The sequence below is a fragment of the Homo sapiens genome, chromosome 19 (assembly GCF_000001405.40).
Source record: "Homo sapiens chromosome 19, GRCh38.p14 Primary Assembly".
Lineage (NCBI taxonomy): Eukaryota > Metazoa > Chordata > Mammalia > Primates > Hominidae > Homo > Homo sapiens.
The window spans coordinates 11,530,973-11,551,586 of record NC_000019.10 but is presented as its reverse complement, the minus strand read 5'-3'; the positions used below and the strand labels follow the sequence as shown (position 1 = coordinate 11,551,586).

Below are 20,614 nucleotides of genomic sequence, written 5' to 3'. Positions count from 1 at the left end.
GAAGACAGCTCCGTGCCGCGCTCCTCGCTTCTCTGCCTCCTCTCCTCCTTGGAATCCTGATGGTTGGGGACCTCTCCCTCCTCCCGGGGATAACAGGGTCCCCTCTGAAATGTGAGGAGGTTGAGGCCCTGGACACAGCCTTTTAGAGTCCCGGGTTGGCAGGCTCAGCCTTAAGACGGCTGAGAGCGGGCGGGGCGCACAGAATTAACCGTGCCCTATGGTGCCCTGTGCCAGTCAGTAAAGGGCCATTGCCTTGGCTCAGAAGTGCCCCTCTCCCTGTCCCCTTTCCCCTCCCCACAGTCTGGGGCTAAAGGGTTCACCCTGCCCACAGGGCCCACCAGGACCCCTACTTGTCATCCTTTCTCTATTGATGCCTGGTCTTTACCAGCGATTAAACATGTAGAACATCACCCCATCTGGGGGTGTCATTTCATGACCACAAGAGGCTTACTGTCCCCATTATTTTGATGGGAAAACAGGTCTAGGGAGGGAAAGTGATTGCCCGAGGTCATCCAGGCAGCTGCTCTGTGATTCACATGCCATTTAGCCTGTCCCAGTACTCAGGCTCTTTGTCACCACCATCCACAAGCCTCTGGGAGAGCAGTGTGGGTCGTGTGTGTGTGTGTGTGTGTGTGTGTGTGTGTGTGTGCACGCGCGCGCGCATTGGCTCTCTGGCTGTGCCTTTTTTTTTTTTTTTTTTTTTTGAGATGGAGTCTTGCTCTGTTGCCCAGGCTGGAATGCAGTGGCGCCATCTCAGCTCACTACAGCCTAGATCTCCAGGGCTCAAGTGATTCTCCTACCTCAGCCTCCCAAGTAGCCGGGACTACAGGCATGCGCCACCACACCCTGCTAATTTTTGTATTTTTAGTAGAAACAAGGTTTCACCATGTTGGCCAGTCTGGTCTCGAACTCCTGACCTCAAGTGATCCTCCCATCTCAGCCTCCCAAAGTGCTGGGATTACCGGCATGAGCCACTGTGCCCGGCTGGCTATGCCTTTTTTACATGTCGTAGGGAGTGTGTACTGCCTGTGTGTGCATATCTGTGTGTGAAAGGGGGGAGTGTGTGTGTGTGTGTGGACTTTGCATGTGAGTGTGATGGGGTGCCTGTCCTGTGTCTAGCTGAGTGGCTACAGTGAGGTGTGTGTCTTAGGGTGCGTGTGAGTGTGTATGTACGTCTTAGGGTGCATGTGGGCATGTGTGTCCGTGCAGATGTGTGTGCGGGATATGGCGCATATCTAAAACAGAGCAGCTCTGAGGCCTCAGGAGATTTTACAGCCATTTATTGTGCTCCAGTGAAATAGAAAAAAAAGAAAGTGCTCTCATTACAAACGCCACTGTCACATCCACATAGTATGCCAGTCGCTGCAAACCAAACCGCGTGTGTCCGCTGGGTCTCTGGGCATGCAGTTTGCTCCCACTGCGGGAATGGGGTGGGGGCAGGCCGAGCCTGGGCTCTGGGGGCTTTGCTGGGGGAGCTTCTGGTCCTGGGGGTACCCACTTGTGAGGGAGTGGGGGGACAGCTGGAATAGCGTTGCTCAGTGCGTCCTTTGGGCGCTGTTGGGGACACCCGGCTCTATGTTGGACCCTGTAGCACTACAGAGCGGAGGGTCCCCTTCCCCCCAATGGGCCCCCCGCCAGTCTGCTCTCTCCAAACTCTAACCCTGTAGAGGTTGAGTTCTACAGGGGCTGGAGGATGCCATGCAGGGAGAGGGGGTCGGCTGGGCCTGGCTGGGTCCAGCCAAGAGCAGCAGCAGCCTCCCTTGGGGGGAAAACAGGGAAGGCCTTGTGGCCCTAGGCGGAATTGTAGTAGTTGTGTGCGTGGTGGTTGTGGGCGGGCTCACCCAGCTCTGGGTACTCGGGAGTCAGACAGTACTTGGGGTCGTAGACCTGGCGTGGCAGCCCATACACCGTCATGCCCCGCTGCGAGGCGCCCTTGTTGCTGCCCATCTGCAGGCTGACATTGAGCGTGTCGCAGTGCTCCATGCCCAGCCCCGGCTCGAAGATCTGCCGCTTGGTCCCTGGCGCAGTCATGCCAGCCTGCGAAGGGTGGTGTGGTCAGGCCGTGGGGTGGCCAGGGTCCTGGGCCTTGACGGCGTGTCCCGGGGGCCCCCACTCACCTGGCTGGCTCCTTTGTTGGTGCCCATCTGCAGGCTGATGGTCGCCTGGTCCAGAGGCTGGTCTGTGCCCAGCTTGGGGTCGTAGAGGTGGCGCCGGGTGCCATAGGCCGTCATGCCCTGCTGGCTGGCAAACTTGTTGGTGCCCATCTAGGAAGCCAGAAGGAGAATCACACCAATAATTACAGACCTCATCATGGGCCATGAGGCATAGCTGATGGGAGAGGATGAGGCGCCGCTTTATCATTTTTTTCAATTTTTATTTTATTTTATTTATTTTTTTTTGAGACGGAGTCTTGCTCTGTTGCCCAGGCTGGAGTGCAGTGACATGATCTCAGCTCACTGAAATCTCCATCTTGCACATTCAAGCAATTCTCCTGCCTCAGCCTCCGGAGTAGCTGGGATCACAGGTGGGCATCACCATGCCCGGATAATTTTTTGTATTTTTAGTAGAAATGGGGTTTCACCATGTTGGCCACGCTGGTCTCGAACTCCTGACCTCAGGTGATCCACCCACCTCACCCTCCCAAAGTGCTGGGATTACAGGGGTGAGCCACTGTGCCTGGCCCATTTTTTAGTTTATTTTTATATTTTATTTTGTTCTATTCTATTTTTTTGTTTTATTTTATTTTATTTGAGATAGCATCTCACTCTGTCGCCCAGGTTGGAGTGCAGCGGCACAATCTTGGCCCACTGCAACCTCTGCCTCCTGAGTTCAAGCAATTCTCCTGCCTCAGCCTCCTGAGTAGCTGGGACTACAGGTGTGCCCCACCACACCGGCTAGTTTTTGTATTTTTGGTAGTGACAGGGTTTCACCACGTTGGCCAGGCTGGCCTTGAACTCTTGACTTTAAGTGATCCGCCTGCCTCGGCCTCCCGAAGTGCTAGGATTACTGGCATGAGCCACCATACCCAGCCCATTTTCATTTTTAGAGACAGGGTCTCACTCTGTCGCCCAGGCTGGAGTCCAGTGATGCAATCATTGTAACCTTGAACTCCTGGGCTCAAGTGATTCTCCCACTTCAGCCTCCTAAGTAGCTGGGACCACAGGCAGACACCACTGCATTTGGCTAAACTCTTAAATTTGTTGTAGAGATGGCGGTGGAGGGGGGTTCTATTTTGCCCAGGCTGGTCTGAAACACCTGACCTCAAGCAATCCTCCTGCCTCAGCCTCCCCAAGTGCTGGAATTACAGGTGTGAGCCACTGCACCCCGCCTGAGGCATCCTTTCGAGACTGGAAACTGAGGCCCAGAGTGGGCCTATCACATGACTGACTTCTAGCATTGAAGTTCCAGCCTGCCACGCATCAGCTGGAAGATCTGTGCAAAAGCGAGCCAGCTTCTCCGGGTCTCAGTTTTCTCATCTGCGGAAAGGGTATGTTGATAACAAGCACCTGTCTGCTGGGGTGTTGGCAGAGTGAGTGAGTTTGTGAATGGAAGATGAGCATAAGCACAGTACCCGGCCTATAGTATAGTTAATGCCAAATATCCTGTCCCCAAAAGCCTTCAGACATCAGGGTGCCCTCCTGGCCTCTATGACCTCTGCGCAGTGAGGACAGGGCGGTACCTGCAGCCCAATGATGTTCCGCCCTTCTCTTAGCTTCCCCGGCTCGAATTTCCGCTCCTGCTTCTCTGCGTACTTCACTCCCACGTTCACCTTGTTTCCTTTCGTCTTCGCCTAGGTGGGGCAGGGAAAGCAGGGACTGACAAGGGGGCCTCCAGGCTGCACAGTCCCCTTGGACACTGTTTTTTTGTTGTTGTTGACACAGAGTCTCGCTCTGTTGCCCAGGCTGGAGTGCAGTGGCGTGATCTCAGCTCACTGCAAGCTCCGCCTCCCGGCTTCACACCATTCTCCTGCATCAGTCTCCCTAGTAGCTGGGACTACAAGCGCCTGCCACCATGCCCGGCTAATTTTGTTTTGTAGTTTTAGTAGAGACAGGGTTTCACCATGTTAGCCAGGATGGTCTCAATCTCCTGACCTTGTGATCCACCTGTCTCGGCCTCCCAAAGTGCTGGGATTACAGGCGTGAGCCACCGTGCCCGGCCAACACTGTTTTTTGTTTTTTGTTTTTTTTTTTTTGAGACGGAGTCTTGGCTCTGTCACCCAGGCTGGGCAGTGGCACGATCTCGGCTCACTGCAGACTCCGCCTCCCGGGTTCAAGCGATTCTCCTGCCTCAGCCTCCTGAGTAGCTGGGATTACAGGCATGCGTCACCACGTCCAGCTAATTTTTGTATTTTTAGTAGAGACGGGATTTCACCATGTTGGCCAGACTGGTCTCAAACTCCCGGCCTCAAGCAATCCGCTCACCTTGGCCTCCCAAAGTGCTGGGATTACAGGTGTGAGCGACCGCGCCCGGCCCCCTTGGACGCTGTTGACAGCACCTGCTCCCCGATCCCTGCCCCCCGCTCCGCCACCTTCACTGGGCTCAGGAGCACAAGTGGCCACACCTGCATCCCAGCCCAGGCTGCCCACCACCCCCTGCCCAGCCTGCAACCACACTCACCATGCTGGCCAAAGCCAGGAGGGTGGACTGCACCTGTGTATGGTTGGTGTTCTCAAACAGGTCGTTGGCCTCAAAAATGTCGTGGGGCTTCACCCCATACTTGGTGATGGCCTTGATGAAGTTGCCGATGTTCTCCAGCTAGAGGGGGGCAGGTGGTGGTCACTGGGTGGGGAGGGGAGGTCTGAGGGGCTTGCGGGCAAGGATGGAAGAGATTGTGTCTGGGCTCACCTGGTGCCAATTTTGGGTTGACTCATTGATCTTCTTCACGGAGCCTGGCTGCAGCTTATTGATGAATCTGAGAAGAGTGGGGAAGGGGTAAGAAAGGTGTCCCCCCAGGGTTGGGCACGGTGGCTCACGCCTGTAATCCCAGCACTTTGGGAGGCCAAGGCGGGTGGATCACGAGGTCAGGAGAGCGAGACTATCCTGGCCAACATGGTGAAACCCCATCTCTACTAAAAATACAAAAATTAGCCAGGCGTGGTGGCACATGCCTGTACTCCCAGCTACTCAGGAGGCTGAGGCAATCACTTGAACCCAGGAGGCGGAGGTTGCAGTGAGCTGAGATTGCAGCACTGCATTCCAGCTTGGGGACAGAGCGAGACTCCGTCTCAAAAAAAAAAAAAAAAGAAAGAAAGGTGTCCCCCACTCCCGCTCTCCAGCCCAGCCCAGCAGGAGGAGGGTGACGGGATGACCACAAGGGGCCATGCCATACCCTAGCGTCACTTCTCCCTGCAGTCAGCTCTCAGCTGCAGCCCCTCCAAACCACCCAAGCACACACACAAATGGGACACTGATGCCAAGGAGCTAGACTCAGGTCCCAGTCAGAAAGCCTGCTTATCCAAGGTGTGTCCGAGTCTCTGGGATCTCCGAAGCCTCACTGGCAGGCGTGTCTCAGCATCCTTTTCTCTTGTAGACAGCAGGAAGCCCACAAGGGCCTCTTCTCTGACTCACTCCTTTAATGATCTCGCCTCTTTTTTCTTTTCTTTTCTTTTTTTTTTCTTTTTGATGCAGGGTGTGGCTTTGTCGCCCAGGCTGGAGAGCAGTGGTGCAATCACAGCTCACTGCAGCCTCAACTTCCCAGGCTCCAGCGATCCTCCCACCTCAGCCTTCCGAGTAGCTGGGATCACAGGTGCGCACCACCATGCCTGGCTTTTTTTTTTTTTTTTTTTTTGGTAGAGAGGGGGTTTCACTGTATTTGTATTGCCCAAGCTGGTCTTGAACTCCTGGGCTCAAGCGATCCTCCTGCCTCAGCCTCCCAAAGCGCTGGGATTACAGGCATGAGTGACAGCACCTGGCCTCATTCAGTGTCTTGACTTTAAGTGCCTCCATATGCCAGCAACTCCCTCATCTCCCTGCAGCTTGGGTTTCTTACCATCTCATTCAGCTCTCTCCATGGGTGCCTGGGTGTCTCAAATCAAACTCACCCTGCTCCAGACTCCTGACATGCAGCTTCCCCCTCCAGACTCCCCCCTCCCTCCACCTTCCCTGCCTAGCAGTGCCCCCTTCTAGGTGCTCAGCCAGAGCCCTTGGACTTGCCCCCAACTCCCCCTTTCTCCTTCTCTCAGCCTCATGTCCAGTCCCTCCAAAGTTCTTTGGCTCTGCCTTTTAATGAGTCCAGAAAACCACCCACTGCTCCCCGCCACCTCCACCTGGGTCTCAGCCACCAGAGTCTGTTTCCTGGCCTCTTGTAATGAGCTCCCAACTTCCACTTCATCCCCTACAGACCCACCCTTCTTCATCCAGCAGCCAGAATTTTTTTTTTTTTTTCCGAGATGGAGTCTTGCTCTGTCACTCAGGCTGGAAGGCAGTGGCGGGATCTCGGCTCACTGCAACCTCTGTCTCCTGGGTTCAAGCAATTCTCCTGCCTCAGCCTCCTAAGTAGTTGGGATTACAGGTGCCTGCTACCATGCCCAGCTAAATTTTGTGTATTTTTAGTAGAGACGCGGTTTCACCATGTTGGTCAGGTTGGTTTCGAACTCCTGACCTCAAGTGATATGCCCACCTCAGCCTCCCAAAGTGCTGGGATTACAGGCATGAGCCACTGCCCCTGGCCCAGAATGGCCTTTTTTAAACAGTTCAAGTTACCGTCCAGTTCCAAATCCTCCAGGAGCCTCCCATTGCCTTCAGAATGAAATCCTAAGTCCTCTGCCTAAAATGCCCTCTGTAGAACTGGGCACAGTGGCTCACACCTGTAATCCCAGTGCTTTGGGAAGCCGAGACAGGAGGATGGCTTGAGCCTAGGAGTTTCAGATCAGCCTGGGCAACATGGTGAGACCCGTGTCTCTACAAAAAAAAAAAAAAAAAAAACCCGAAAACTTCACCGGGCGTGGTGATGTGTGCCTGTAGTTCCAGCTACTGAGGAGGCTGGGGCTGAAGAGGCTGGGGTGGGAGGATCAGTTGAGCCTAGGAAGTCGAGGCTGTAGTGAGCTATGATTGCACCGCTGTACTCCAGCCCGGGCACCAGAGCAAGACTCTGTCTCTAAATAAATAAATGAAATAAAATGCCCTCCACCATCTGACTCTCAGTTCACTCTGCGACTTCATCTCCACTTCTGCTCAATCATTTGGTGCTCGTCACGCCAGCCTCCTTCTTGTTTCTTGAACACCCCAAGCACGATCCTACCTCACGCCTTTGCACTGGTGGCCCCCTCTGCTTTGCCTCAGGTCCCCTGAGCCCTCCCTCACTTCATCTAAGGTTCTGTTCAAATGTCACCTCTTCAGAGAGGCCTCCCAGACCACTCTCTAGGAAACTGCAGACTCTCCACCCGCAGACATATACCTGACCCTCCCATCTTCCCTTCCGCTTGAGTTTTCCCCAGGACACTTACGACCACAAATCTGTGATTATTTGATCAATTATATGATTGATCTCCTCAACTGGACTAAAAGTCCTTGAGCTCTGAGTCGAGTCTGTTCTGTTCACTGTTCCCAGTGCCTAGGCCAGAGCCTGGCACACAGCAGGAACTCATAAATGCTTCTTTTGTGAATGAATGAATGAATGAATGAGTGAATGACCGGAGTGCGTGGGTGACTGCACTACACTCTTTTTTTTTTTCTTATACTTTAACTTCTGGGGTACATGTGCACTATGTGCAGGTTTGATACATAGGTATACATGTGCCATTTTGGTTTGCTGCACCCATCAACTCGTCATTTACATTAGGTCTTTTTTTTTTTTTTTTTTTTTGAGACGGAGTCTCGCTCTGTCACCCAAGCTGGAGTGCAGTGGTGGGATCTCGGCTCACTGCAAGCTCCGCCTCCCGGGTTCACGCTATTCTCCTGCCTCAGCCTCCCGAGTAGCTGGGACTACAAGCGCCTGCCACCACGCCCGGCTAATTTTTTGTATTTTTTTTAGTAGAGACAGGGTTTCACCGTGTTAGCCAGGATGGTCTTGATCTCCTGACCTCGTGATCCGCCTGCCTCAGCCTCCCAAAGTGCTGGGATTACAGACGTGAGTCACCGCGCCCGGCCCACTCTTTTATTATTATTATTATTATTATTATTATACTTTAAGTTCTAGGGTACACATGCACAACGTGCAGGTTTGATACATAGGTATACATGTGCCATGTTGGTTTGCTGCACCCATCAACTTGTCGTTTACATTAGTTTTTTTTTTTTTGAGACAGGGTTTCACTGTTGCCCAGGCTGGAGTGCAGTGGCGCGATCATAGCTCACTGCAGCCTTGACCTCCAGGGCTCAAGCGATCCTCCCACCTCAGCCTTCCGAGTAGCTGGGACCACAGGCGCATGCCACCATGCCAAGCTAATTAAAACAAAAATGTTTTGTAGAGATGGAATCTGGCTATGTTGCCCAGGCTGGGACTGCACTGTTTGACGTCTGAGCAGTCCTCTGCCTGAGCTGGGACACCAGCATGCCTACCTCCCCACCTGCCAATTCCTTGTTCCTAGTGGATGGGAATGGAACAAGGTAAACACCCCCCACACCCCTTCTTCCCAGCATCTAGGACTTGATGAAGCTGCACCTTCAAAGTCTTCCCGAGGCCACTCACAGTCACTCTGCCCTGGGTCAGACTCAAATGCAGATCGGGCGCAGGCTGGGTTTAGGGCCCTGCTATGCATTAAGATTGCAGTGGAGCCGGGCGCGGTGGCTCACGCCTATAATCCCAGCACTTTGGGAGGCCGAGGTGGGTGGATCACAAGGTCAGGGGTTCGAGACCAGCCTGACCAACATGGTGAAACCCCGTCTCTACTAAAAATACAAAAATTAGCTGGGCGTGGTGGCGGGCACCTGTAATCCCAGCTACTCAGGAGGCTGAGGCAGGAGAATTGCTTGAACCTGGGAGGCAGAGCTTGCAGTGAGCCAAGATCATGCCACTGCACTCCAGCCTGGGTCACAAAGCAAGATTCCATCTGAAAAAAAAAAAAAAGATTGCAGTGGAACTGGGGCTTGGGAGCTGTTAGGGTTTTCACCTCCCTCAGCAATGAGGTTTTGAGGCGAGGAGAAAACCAGGGCCGGCAGGGTGCAGTGGTTCATGCCTGTAATGCCAGCACTTTGTGAGACTAAGGCGGGTGGATCACTTGAGGTCAGGAGTTCGAGACCAGCCAGGCCAACATGGCAAAATCCCGTCTCTACTAAAAATACAAAAGTTATCCGGGCAAGGTGGTGGGCACCTGTAATCCCAGCTGCTCAGGAGGCTGAGACACAAGAATCACTTGAACCCGGAAAGCAGAGGTTGCAGTGAGCTGAGATCATGTCACTGCACTCCAGCCCGGGTGACAGAGGAAGACTCCATCTCAAAAAAAAGAAGAAGAAGAAGAAGGTCGGGCGAGGTGGCTCATGCCTGTAATCCCAGCAATTTGGGAGGCCGAGGCAGGTGGATCACTTGAGGTCAGGAGTTTGAGACCAGCCCGGTCAACATGGTGAAACACTGTCTCTACTAAAAAAAAAAAAAAAAAATACAAAAATTAGCCAGGCGTGGTGGCATGTGCCTGCAATCCCAGCACTTTGGGAGGCCAAGGCAGGTGGATCACTTGAAGTCAGGAGTTCAAGACCAGCCTAGTCAACATGGTGAAACTCCATCTCTACTGAAAAAAAAAAAAAAAAAACAAAAATTAACCGGGCATGGTGGCACGTGCCTGTAATCCCAGCACTTTGGGAGGCTGAGGTAGGTGGATCAATTGAGGTCAGGAGTTCGTAACCATCCTGGCCAACATGGTGAAACCCCATCTCTACTTTAAAAAAATACAAAAATTAGCCAGGCATGGTGGTGCGTGCCTGTAATCCCAGCTATTGGGGAGGCTGAGGCAGGAGAATCACTTAAACCCTGGAGGCGGAGGTTGCAGTGAGCCGAGATTGTGTCTCTGCACTGCAGCCTGGGCAACAGAACAAGACTGTATCTCAAAAAAACAAAAAGAAAACAGAAAGAAAACCAGGGCCTCCTTTAATTATTGCTGCACATCTCTCCTCACATCACCAAGCCAGCCATGAACAGCTGTTGGCTGCTGCCTTTTAGCTGTGACCGCTCTTTCTGGGGACTCTGGCGGCCACAGATGGGCCTACCCTATATAGCATGGTGGTTAAGATTCTAGAGTCATTTCCCTTGAAACCACGTGGGACTTGGTGCAATGCATTTCACCTGAGCCTCAGTTTTCTGTGCCTGTTAAATGGGCACAATGATTACTGGCCACCCCAAAGGTATCCAATAGAAAGTGTTCAACTCAGTTCCAGGATCATGGTTGTTTTGGGGGTTGAGGGGCTGCATGGAGTTGGGGGATGTTGCAGGGTCTCGGCTTCGAGAGCCTCACTCACTCGCAAAGAATGATGCCATCTTTGAGGCCGTCCATGAAGTTGTTGCCGATGCGACGGCCTGTCACCCCCTCGATCCACTCTCTCAGCTCCTGCTCCCGCTGGTGGTCATACTTCTGGGCCAGCTGGGGCGAGGGGAGGGCAGGGGGCACAGAGAAAGGGGTGAGGATGCATTGGGGGCAGCCTGGGCTCCCTGGGTCCTGTCTGAACTTCCTAGAGCCTGATCTCCCTCGTCCTTCCCAACTAAGGCAATTTTGCCCCAGATCCATAGTTGGGGGATGGGGGCTGGGGCGGGCTGAGAGCCAGGGCTGAGGTGGCACCTGCCCAGGGGGCCATTCCGGGCATTCTGAGGTTTGGCACCAGGGAATGTAGATGAGGGGTGGGGTGTGGGGAGCTGGATCCTCTGAGCTAGAGGGGTGGCACCCGGCACCCTGGTTTTTCGCCCAGGCCAAACTTGGGGCTTCTCTTCCTCTAGCCCTGCCCCCTCTGTGCCCCCTGTTGGAAGAGAGGGCACCTCAGGAAGGGAAGAAGGATGTCTAAGGAGGTGTCCCTGGGTGCTGGCTTGCAGAGGAGTGCTGGTCATACATCTCTGTCTCTCCGTGTCCCCCAGGTCTTCAGCTCCAGGGCTCTGTCTCTGGTTAGTGGTGGGGGCTTGTCTCTGTCTTAGCCCCCACCCCTTGCACGTCTGTATGTCTCTCTCCCTCTTATCCCCCCGACTCCTCTGTCTCTCTCTTCCCCAGCGCTGTCTTTTCTTGGCCCAGTCTTGGGTCCCCATCTCTCTAGGTGGCTAGTCCCTGTCTGGCCAGGGGTAGGGCTCCTGGGTCTTGTATATCTGCCTCTCTAGGTCTTTCTCTGTCTCCAGGTTTCCTGCCTGGGGTGGGGGTGGTGGGGCTCTGTCTCCTCTCCCTGCCCCTCCATCCTTGTCTAGGTCTTATCTCGCTCCTGGCTCGCCCTCCCCCGTCTGTCCCTAGGGTGTCTCAGGCTCCCAGTATCTCTGTCTGCCTCTCCCCCCACCTCCCTGCTTTTCCCTCTCTCCACTGTCCCCCCCCTCCCCCACTCCACTCCCATTTCTCCAGAACCCTCCGCCCAAGCCCAGCCAGGCTCCCAGCCCCTAGGGGACCGGGCTGCCTCTTCTTCTCCCGGGTGAGTGGGGGGAGGTGGGAGGGGCGGCCCCCTCACCTGGCCCTGGCCCTGCCGCCCCCCACGCCACCAGCCCGGCTTTATAAAGCAAACCGGCCCTTATATAGCGTGGCCCGGGCTCCCCGAGGCCGCCTTATAAGGCGCGGCGTCTCTGCGCGGCTCTGCGCGGCTCTGGGGCCGGCGCTGGGGGGGAGGAGGGCGGCGCTGGGATCTGTCTCTCGCCCGAGGACCCGCCCCCCACCAGCCCCCTCCTCCAGCCCCGAGATCCCTCGACCCAGGTTCCAACCCAGTCCCCCACTTCCTCACCATGGGACCCTGGGAAAAGCCACCCTGAGCCTCAGTGTTCCCCTCTGTCAAATGGGGCAGGAACTCCTCCCTCGGCAATACTGTTGGGGCGATTCCAGTGGGCTGGAAACTTAAAGTTCTCCAGCTGGGAGAAGCTGAGCCCATCCTGGTGTATGGGGGGTGAGTCCAGGGTCCGAGCGCTGTACCTGCTTTACCTGGGACCCCAGCTATTTGCCTCTCCTCTCCGAACCTCAGTTTACCCAACCATAGCATGAAGGTGGTGTCCAGGTATCTTCCTAGCTCCACAGTCAGGAGACCCCTGCCGCACTTCTGATGCCCGCTTCCTGCCTTTCACCGTCCCCCTCTGTCTTCAGGATCTCCCACACTTTCACGGCGTCACTTCCCAGGTACCCCAGCACTCAAGCGCTCCCCAATTTCTTTGTCAGGCCGGGGGATATGGAAAAATCAACAAGTCTTCCCCCTATGTTGTTCCCCCCAAGAACACGAAGGGTTAACAGAAGACTGATCAGGTGGGTATCTTTGCAATGGACTGACCCCCTCTGTTTATGTGTGGCTGTGTGCCCCCCCATTCCAGCCCCAACCATAGCTGGGGGCTCCGGGATGTTCAGGGGGAGACAGGCAGCCCCTATCCCATATCACTCCCTTTTCCCCTCTCAGTTTCCAAGTCACATAGGATAGGCAGGAGGGGGTTCAAGGGACCCCAAGCTCAGGGCTCTGGCCTGGCAGGACGTGTGGGCCAGGCCAGGGAGGCCCTCCAGCCCTACCTTGTTCTTAACCTCGGCTGACAGCCCGTAGGCAGGGCCTCGGTTGAAGTGAGCAGAGGACATGCTGGCCGGTGGGCTCTGGCGGGGGCAGTGGCGGCACTGACGCTGAGAACAGAGGCAGCGGCTGAAGTTCCGTCTGCACACTCTTCCCTCCTCACATGTTTTTGAAGCTCCGGAGGCGACCCGGGTCTCTTCCAGGGCCGTTCCATTGGCTGTAGGGGCCTGCCAAGGGGCGGGGCACCTCCCCCCACAACCTCAGCTGCCTTCCCCTCCCCTTGTGATGTCAGGCCCTTGGTATTGGGAGCTGATTGTGTCATTGTTTCCACCTAGGGGGGCAGCCTGCGTTATTCTGGGGGGGCTTGGTCAGACAGAGACCAGCCTTCTTCCACCCACCCCTCCCACTGTCCATTGGGCCTCTGGCTGGGTCTGAGTCTCTTTGTCTCTGAGGTCATCTCTCTTTATCTCTCTGGAGTCTTGAAGCAGGACTGACACCCAAGGTAGTTTAGTGAGCACCATCCCGGGTTTATCTCCAGATACCAACAGTCTATAGCCTTAGGTAAGCCCCTTCTCCTCTCTGGGCCTCTATGGCCACATCTGTAAAATGGGCTAACGATAGTGCCTGCCTCATGGGAGAGTTGTAAAGATCAGAAGAATATGCCTGTTACATGCCCAGCACAGTGCCCGGCACAGCAGAGGGACTCGGGCCATAGCAGTCTTTTTAAGGCAAGGTTTCACTCTGTCCCCTCGGCTGGAGTGCAGTGGCACAATCACAGCTCACTGCAGCCTTGACCTCCCAGGCTCAAGTGATCCTCCCATCTCAGCCCATCCAAGTAGTTAGAATTGCAGACTTGTGCCACCAACCTGGCTAATTTTATTTTATTTTTTTAGAGATGGGGTCTCGCTATGTTGCCCGGGGTCTCGCTATGTTGCCCAGGCTGGTCTCAAATTTCTGGGCTCAAGCAATCTGCCCGCCTTGGCCTCCCAAAACGCTGGGATTTACAGGCATGAGTCACCATGCCCAGCCTATAGCATTCTTTATGCTGAGGGTCCAGCACCCCAGTTCTGTCTCCTCCAGCCCCTCATAAGGACCTGGGGGAGAAGAGATCCTGGGTCTCACCCTCCCCATCCACTTGTGTGTCACCTGAACTACAGGGTGACTTTGTTGGCAAGTCCCAGGCCGTGAACTGTGTCCCTGTCAAACAGCCCTACCCAGCCAGATCTCACCCCTGGACCACAGGGGTGGATGCTATGCCCACATCATGCCCCACATGGCAAGGCCATGTTTGTGACACTTGGATGACATGTCTGCAACCTGCCACACACTAATGATATGTTGAGGATATGCAGTTTATCGGTCACATGCTAATGGCATGGCTGCAATATGCCACAGACTACAGCCCTTATGTCAGGCCATGTTCCAACTCTGTACATATATCCATTCAATTCTCATGACGCCCTCAGAGATGGACACTGTTATTATTATTATTATTATTATTATTATTATTATTTGGAGACAGAGTCTCTATTCCCCAGGCTGGAGTGCAGTGATGCTATCTCGGCTCACTGCAACCTCCACCTCCTGGGTTCAAGCGATTCTCCTGCCTCAGCCTCCCAAGTAGCTGGGATGACAGGTGTCTGCCACCACGACTGGCTATTTTTTGTATTTTTAGTAGAGACGGGGTTTTGCCATGTTAGCCAGGCTGGTCTCGAACTCCTGACCTCAGTTGATCTGCCCACCTCGGCCTTGCAAAGTGCTGGGATTACAGGCGTGAGCCACCGTGCCCAGCTGACACTGTTATTATTAATACAAGTACTTTGCTTTACAGGTGGGGAAACTGAGGCACGGGGGCTTGGAATCACTTTTTCAGCGTCACACAGCAGGCCAGGGGCAGAGGAGAATTTGAGACCATGCTCCATGAACCTCAACTATGAGGCTAAGGTGGGGTTTCTCAACCTCCACACTGTTGACAGCTGAGGCTGGATAATTCTTCATGGTTGGGGGGCTGCCTTGGGCATTCATTGTAAGACTTCAAGCAGCATGCCTGGCCTCTACCTGCTACATGCCAGTAGCACTCTCTTAGTCCTAATAAACAGAAATGTTGAGGCACTGCGGCAGGACCCTGTAGTCCCAGCTACTAAGGAGGCTGAGGTGGGAGGATCCCTTGAGCCCAGGAGTTTGAGAACCATCTGGCCAAGATAGCAAGACCATGGTCTCTAAAAAAGAAAAATTAAAAGAAGAAATGTCTACACACATTGCCAATGTCCCATGATTGGGGTCGGGGTGGAAGCAGATCACCCCTGTTTGCCAACCACTGAGCTAAGGCAATGTGCTAGTTGATGGCATGTCATGATATGTTGAACATACACGAAAATACATAAAATACGAGGCCAAGGCGGGAGGATCGCTTGAGCCCTGGAGTTCGAGACCCGAGACCAGCTTAGGCAACATAGCGAGACCCCGTCTCTATTTAAAAAAAAAAAAAAGAAAAAATAGAAAGTACATAAAATGAGCTAACAATTAGCACCTGCTACGTACTAAGAGCTTTGAGCCTGTTAACTCATTCCTCACGACAGCCTTATGAGGTGGGTCTATACGAGGCACAGAGAGGTGACGCCGAATGGCCGGGTCACACAGCTCGAGGGTGGCAGGGGCGGGATTCGAACGCGCAGATTCCTGGATCCCTCCCAAACTGAGCGGCCCTCGGGGGCCGCAGTTCGCTACTGCGCATGTGAGGACCTGCAGCCGGCGCCCCCTGGCGGCCCGGGAGGGGCGGGGGCGGGACCTGGCGAGGTCCAGGCGGCGGTGACGTCACGCGATGACTCACTCGGCCCCGCCCCCCGGCCCGCGGCCTCTTGGCCATTTATAGAATCTGCACGGACTCTGAAGTCACGGCCCAGGCACGACGGGGGCGGGGTGGGGGAGCTCTTGGCGTGCCCCCCAACGGGGCAGCCCCGGGTACCCCCAGGGGGCAGCCCTTTCGGGGACTGCCTTGTCCCTCTGATTGTAGTAGGTCTGTGTCTCTGTATCTCCGTCTCTGGGTCGCTGAGCCTTTTTCTGTCTCTGCCTTTGTCTCTGTGTCTCTGTTTCTGTGCCTGGTCTTTGAGTCATTCTGTTTCTCTTCATGTCGCTGTCGCTGTATTGTCCGTCTCTCTTCGCGTCTCTGTCTGGTAGATGGGGGTAGAGGCATTAGAGGGGGCTGATCCCATATCGAGGCCCCAATCCCAGTAGACACCCGAGTGTCATCCCTTATTCGCTCCTTTCTGGCATTTTCCAGGCTCTAGCCCCTCTGTGCCTCAGTTTACCATCTAAATGAGAAGTGTAGGATCTTGTAAGAGGCACGGTTTCCCGAAGGGTCTAGGACAGTCATTGTAGGAAAGCCATGCCTCTCCTCAACTTCAGGGGACCCCCTAAAACCTTCCTGATGCTCAGAACCATTTAAAACTCACACTTGGCCGGGCGTGGTTTCTCACGCCTGTAATCCCAGCACTTTGAGAGGCCAAGGCGGGTGGATCACCTGAGGTCAGTAGTTCAAGACCAGCCTGACCAACATGGTGAAACCCCGTGTCTACTAAAAATACAAAATTAGCCGGGCATGGTGGTACATGCCTGTAATCCCAGCTACTCGGGAGGCTGAGGCAGGAGAATTGCTTGAACCCGGCATGTCAGGCAGAGGTTGCAGTGAGCCAAGATCACACCACTGCACTCCAGCCTGGGCCACGGGAGTGAGACTCTGACTCAAAAAATGTAAAAATAAAAATAAAACCCACACTCACACGTGTTTGTCTGTGTGTTTTGGGGAAAGTCAAAGCCCTGCTCTGCACCGGCCTATCTTGGCATCCTGCTCTGCAAGCTCCCTCCTCACGAAGCTTTCCTATCCAGAAATCTGGCAGAGGCTCTTGTTCCTAAAGGCTTCTGTTATGGGAACACTCACTCCATGCCAGCCACAATCTCTTTTAATCCTCACCATCACCTTCTGAGGGTAGAAACTCATAGGTCCATTTTATAGATGGGAAACTCAAGGTTCAGAGAAGCCAAGCCACCCTCCCAGGTAACACTGTTTGTACCTTTTCTTCCAAGTCCCTCCAGATGTGCTGTTTCTTCTTCTTCTTCTCCCTCTTCTTCTTCTTCTTCTTTCTTCTTTCTTCTTTCTTCTCCTTCTCCTTCTCCTTCTTTCTTCTTTCTTCTTTCTTTTCTTCCTCTTCCTCTTCCGCTGCTGCTGCTGCTCCTTCTCCTTCTCCTTCTTCTTCCTCTTCTTCTTCCTCTTCCTCTTTTTCTTCTTGTTCTCCTTCTTCTTCCTCTTCTTCTGCTGCTGCTTCTCCTCCTCCTCCTTCTTCTTCTTTCTTCTTTCTTCCTTCTCCTCCTCCTTCTCCTTCTTCCCCTTCTCCCTTCTCTCTTCTCCCTTCTCCTTATTTCTTCTTCTTCTTCTCCTTTTTTTTTTTTTTTTGAGTCAGAGTATCGCTCTGTCGCTCAGGTTGGAGTGGCATGATCTCGGTTCACTGCAACCTCCACCTCCTGGTTTCAAGCAATTCTGGAGCCTCAGCCTCCCAAGTAGCTGGGATTACAGGCACCCGCTACCACGCTGGGCTACAGATGTGTTTCTTGAGTCCCCAAACATGTTCCCACCTCAGGGTCTTTACAATAGCAGTTCCTGCCACCTGGAACACATTTCTGCAAGATGCCTGCATGGCCTCTCCCCAACTTCATTCAGTCTCTGCTCTAATATCACCTCTCAGAGAGGCCTTCCCTGACCACCTGCTGTAAAATAATAGCATCTCTCACCCCCAGACTGACTGTGAGTGGGTGGACAGGGAGGGAGCTGTTCACTTATAGTCTGGGTGCAGTGGCTCGTGTCTGTAATTCCAGCACTTTGGGAGGCCAAGATGGGCAGATTGTTTGAGGCCAGCAGTTCAAGACCAGCCTGGGAGACATGGCAGGGCCCTGCCTCTACAAAAAAAAAAAAAAGAGAGAGAGCTTTTTAAAAAAGTGCATTTTGGGAGGGCAAGGCAGGAGGATTGCTTGAGCCCAGGAGTTGGAGGCTACAGTGAGCTATGATCATGACACTGCTTATTTTTTTTTTTTTTTTTTTTTTTACAGAATCTCACTCTGTCACCCAGGCCGGAGTACAGTGGCATGATCTCAGCTCACTGCAACTTCCACCTCCCAGGTTCAAGCAATTATCCTGCCTCAGCCTCCTGAGTAGCTGGGATTACAGGTGCCCACCACCATACCGGGCTAATTTTTGTATTTTTAGTAGAGATGGGGTTTCACCATGTTGGCCAGACTGGTCTCGAACTACTGACCTCAGGTAATCTGCTTGCCTTGGCCTCCCAAAGTGCTGGGATTACAGGCATGAGCCACTGTGTCCAGCCATGCCATTGCATTTTAGTTTGGGTGAAAAATAAATAAATAAGAAAAGAAAAGAATGCTTGACGGCCGGGTGTGGTGGCTCACGCCTGTAATCCCAGCACTTTGGGAGGCCAAGGCAGGCGGATCACGAGGTCAGGAGATCGAGACCATCCTGGCCAACATGGTGAAACCCTGTCTCTACTAAAAATACAAAAAATTAGCCGGGCGTGGTGGCGGGCGCCTGTAGTCCCAGCTACTTGGGAGGCTGAGGCAGGAGAATGGCGTCAAGCTGTGGGGCAGAGCTTGCAGTGAGCTGAGATCGTGCCACTGCATTCCAGCCTGGGCGACAGAGCGAGACTCTGTCTCAAAAAAATAAATAAATAAATAAATAAATAAATAAATAAATAAAAGAATGCTTGACAACATGTAACGCAGAGGAGGCTGTGGGAACATTGTTGATGAGTGTGGGCAATTTGTTGATAGTTTCCCAAATGACAAATGTCCTTACCTTCTGAACAAGTATATCCTCTATTTTAGAATATTCCTCAGAAGTACAAGTGTAGGTGTGAAGAATGACATATGTACAGGAACATTTATTGCAGTGGCCTTGTCATAATAAATCACTATAAATCCCATCAACCTGGGACAAGGGAGATAGACAAAGTTGAAGTTAAAACATATAGCATGTTGTTTCAACTAAATGAAGACACTGTAGCGCTGTGGTTAAGAGTGGGGACTCCAGCTGGGTGCAGTGACTCACGCCTGTAATCCCAACACTTTGGGAGGCTGAGGCGGGTGAATCACCTGAGGTCAGGAGTTCAAGACCACCCTGGCCAACATGGTAAAACCCCATCTCTACAAAAACTACAAAAATTAGCTGGGCGTAATGGTGGGAGCCTATAATCCCAGCTACATGGGAGGCTGAGGCAGGGGGTTTCACCATGTTGGTCAGGCTGGTCTTGAACTCCTGACCTTGTGATCTGTCTGCCTCGGCCTCCCAAAGTGCTGGGATTACAGGTGTGAGCCACCGCATCCGGCCCATTGCGTTTCTTTCTTTCTGTCTGTCTGTCTGTCTGTCTGTCTGTCTGTCTATCTATCTATCTATCTATCTATCTATCTATCTATCTTAGAGATGAGGTCTCACTATGATGCCCAGGCTGGACTTGAACTCCTGGGTTCAAGTGATCCTCCTGCCTCAGCCTCCTAAATAGCTAGAACTACAGTGCCACTGTGCCTGGCCCTCATTGCATTTAATTGTCATATCTCCATACATTCCTACAGTCTATAATAGTCCCTGGGTCTTTCAGGACCTTGACACTTTTGAAGAGTGCTGGTCAGTTATTTTGTAGACTGTCTTCGAGTTTGGTTTGTCTTGAATAAACTGAGGTGTTTGCATTACCAGGAAGAATACCAGAGAGGTGATGATGTATCCTTCTAAGTGTGTCATACCAAGGGCTTCATGATATCACCATGACTCATTGCTGGTGATATAAATGTTGGTCCCTTGGTTAAGGTGGTGTCTGCTAGGATCTTTCACTGTGAAGCTACTACTTTTTATAGGGTTCTTTCTGGGACTGTAATGTTAAAGATTCTGCACCAGGGCCTCACATATGGTGTTCTGTGTTAATACATACAGTACATAAAATATGTACATTCTTGGTTTTTTTGTTGTTGTTTGTCTGTTTGTTTTTTTGAGATGGAGTCTTGCTCTGTCGCCCAGGCTGGAGTGCAGTGGTGCAGTCTCGGCTCACTGCAAGCTCCGCCTCCCGGGTTCACACCATTCTCCTGCCTCAGCCTCCCGAGTAGCTGGGACTACAGGCGCCCACCACCACGCCTGGCTAATTTTTTGTATTTTTTTTAGTAGAGACTGGATTTCACCTTGTTAGGCTGGATGGTCTTGATCTCCTGACCTCGTGATCCACCCGCCTCGGCTTCCCAAAGTGGTGGGATTACAGGCGTGAGCCACCGCGCACGGCCTGTACCTACTTGTTTTTAAAAGACTACTGGCCTGGTGTGGTGGCACATGCCTATAATCCCAGCACTTTAGGAGGCCAAGATGGGTGGATCGCAGTACCCCAGGAGTTTGAGACAAGCCTTGGTAACATATTAAGATCCCATCTCTATTTTAAAATAATAATAATAGGCCGGGCATGGTGGCTCATGCCTGTAATCCCAGCATTTTGGGAGGCCGAGGCTGGCAGATCACGGGGTCAGGAGATCAGACCATCCTGGAGAACACAGTGAAACCCCGTCTCTACTAAAAATACAAAAAAATTAGCTGGGCATGGTGGCGGGCGCCTGCAGTCCCAGCAACTGGGGAGGCTGAGGCAGGAGAATGGCGTGAGCCCAGGAGGCGGAGTTTGCAGTGAGCCGAGATCGTGCCACTGCACTCCAGCCTGGGCGACAGAGCAAGACTCTGTCTCAAAAAATAAATAAATAAATAAATAATAATAATGACTGGGCACGGTGGCTAATGCCTGTAATTCTGACACTTTGGGAGGCTGAAGCGGGAGGACTGCTTGAGCCCAGGAGTTGGAGACCAGCCTAGGCAACATGGTGAAACTCCATCTCTACTAAAAATACAAAAATTAGCCGGGTATGGTGGCATGCGCCTGTAGTCCCAGCTACTCGGGAGGCTGAGGCAGGAGAATTGCTTGAATGTGGGAAGCGG

At 53.1% G+C, this 20,614-nt stretch overlaps 1 protein-coding gene across 5 annotated transcripts, besides 5 other annotated features; it reads right to left on the bottom strand.

Moving 5' to 3' along the window:
• CNN1 (calponin 1) lies at nt 1,264-12,736 on the bottom strand. 5 transcript variants are annotated; one of them, NM_001308341.2, is made up of 8 exons: nt 12,597-12,736; nt 12,018-12,292; nt 10,390-10,511; nt 4,846-4,912; nt 4,618-4,755; nt 3,680-3,790; nt 2,118-2,264; nt 1,264-2,037 (listed from the first exon to the last, which is right to left on the bottom strand). In NM_001308341.2, exons 3-8 carry the CDS (start codon nt 10,422-10,424, stop codon nt 1,792-1,794), a joined length of 744 nt encoding a protein of 247 aa, NP_001295270.1. In that variant the 5' UTR covers nt 10,425-10,511; nt 12,018-12,292; nt 12,597-12,736; the 3' UTR covers nt 1,264-1,791. The 5 variants fall into 5 exon arrangements, with proteins under 5 accessions (NP_001295270.1, NP_001295271.1, NP_001290.2 ...); NM_001308342.2 differs by having other exon boundaries at nt 12,027-12,292; NM_001299.6 differs by lacking the exon at nt 12,018-12,292.
• Nucleotides 9,927-10,046: an enhancer, noted in NCBI's record as "active region_14022". NCBI's record gives its function as "activates an Ori minimal core promoter by ATAC-STARR-seq in GM12878 lymphoblastoid cells {active_cell/tissue: GM12878}" and the evidence as "EXISTENCE:reporter gene assay evidence [ECO:0000049][PMID:35858748]".
• Nucleotides 11,711-11,760: a silencer, noted in NCBI's record as "silent region_10119". NCBI's record gives its function as "represses an Ori minimal core promoter by ATAC-STARR-seq in GM12878 lymphoblastoid cells {active_cell/tissue: GM12878}" and the evidence as "EXISTENCE:reporter gene assay evidence [ECO:0000049][PMID:35858748]".
• Nucleotides 12,820-13,765: an enhancer, noted in NCBI's record as "H3K27ac-H3K4me1 hESC enhancer chr19:11648637-11649582 (GRCh37/hg19 assembly coordinates)". NCBI's record gives its function as "activates a minimal SCP1, AML or CMV promoter by ChIP-STARR-seq in primed H9 embryonic stem cells {active_cell/tissue: H9 hESC(primed)}" and the evidence as "EXISTENCE:reporter gene assay evidence [ECO:0000049][PMID:30033119]".
• Nucleotides 15,189-15,558: a silencer, noted in NCBI's record as "silent region_10118". NCBI's record gives its function as "represses an Ori minimal core promoter by ATAC-STARR-seq in GM12878 lymphoblastoid cells {active_cell/tissue: GM12878}" and the evidence as "EXISTENCE:reporter gene assay evidence [ECO:0000049][PMID:35858748]".
• Nucleotides 15,569-15,638: a silencer, noted in NCBI's record as "silent region_10117". NCBI's record gives its function as "represses an Ori minimal core promoter by ATAC-STARR-seq in GM12878 lymphoblastoid cells {active_cell/tissue: GM12878}" and the evidence as "EXISTENCE:reporter gene assay evidence [ECO:0000049][PMID:35858748]".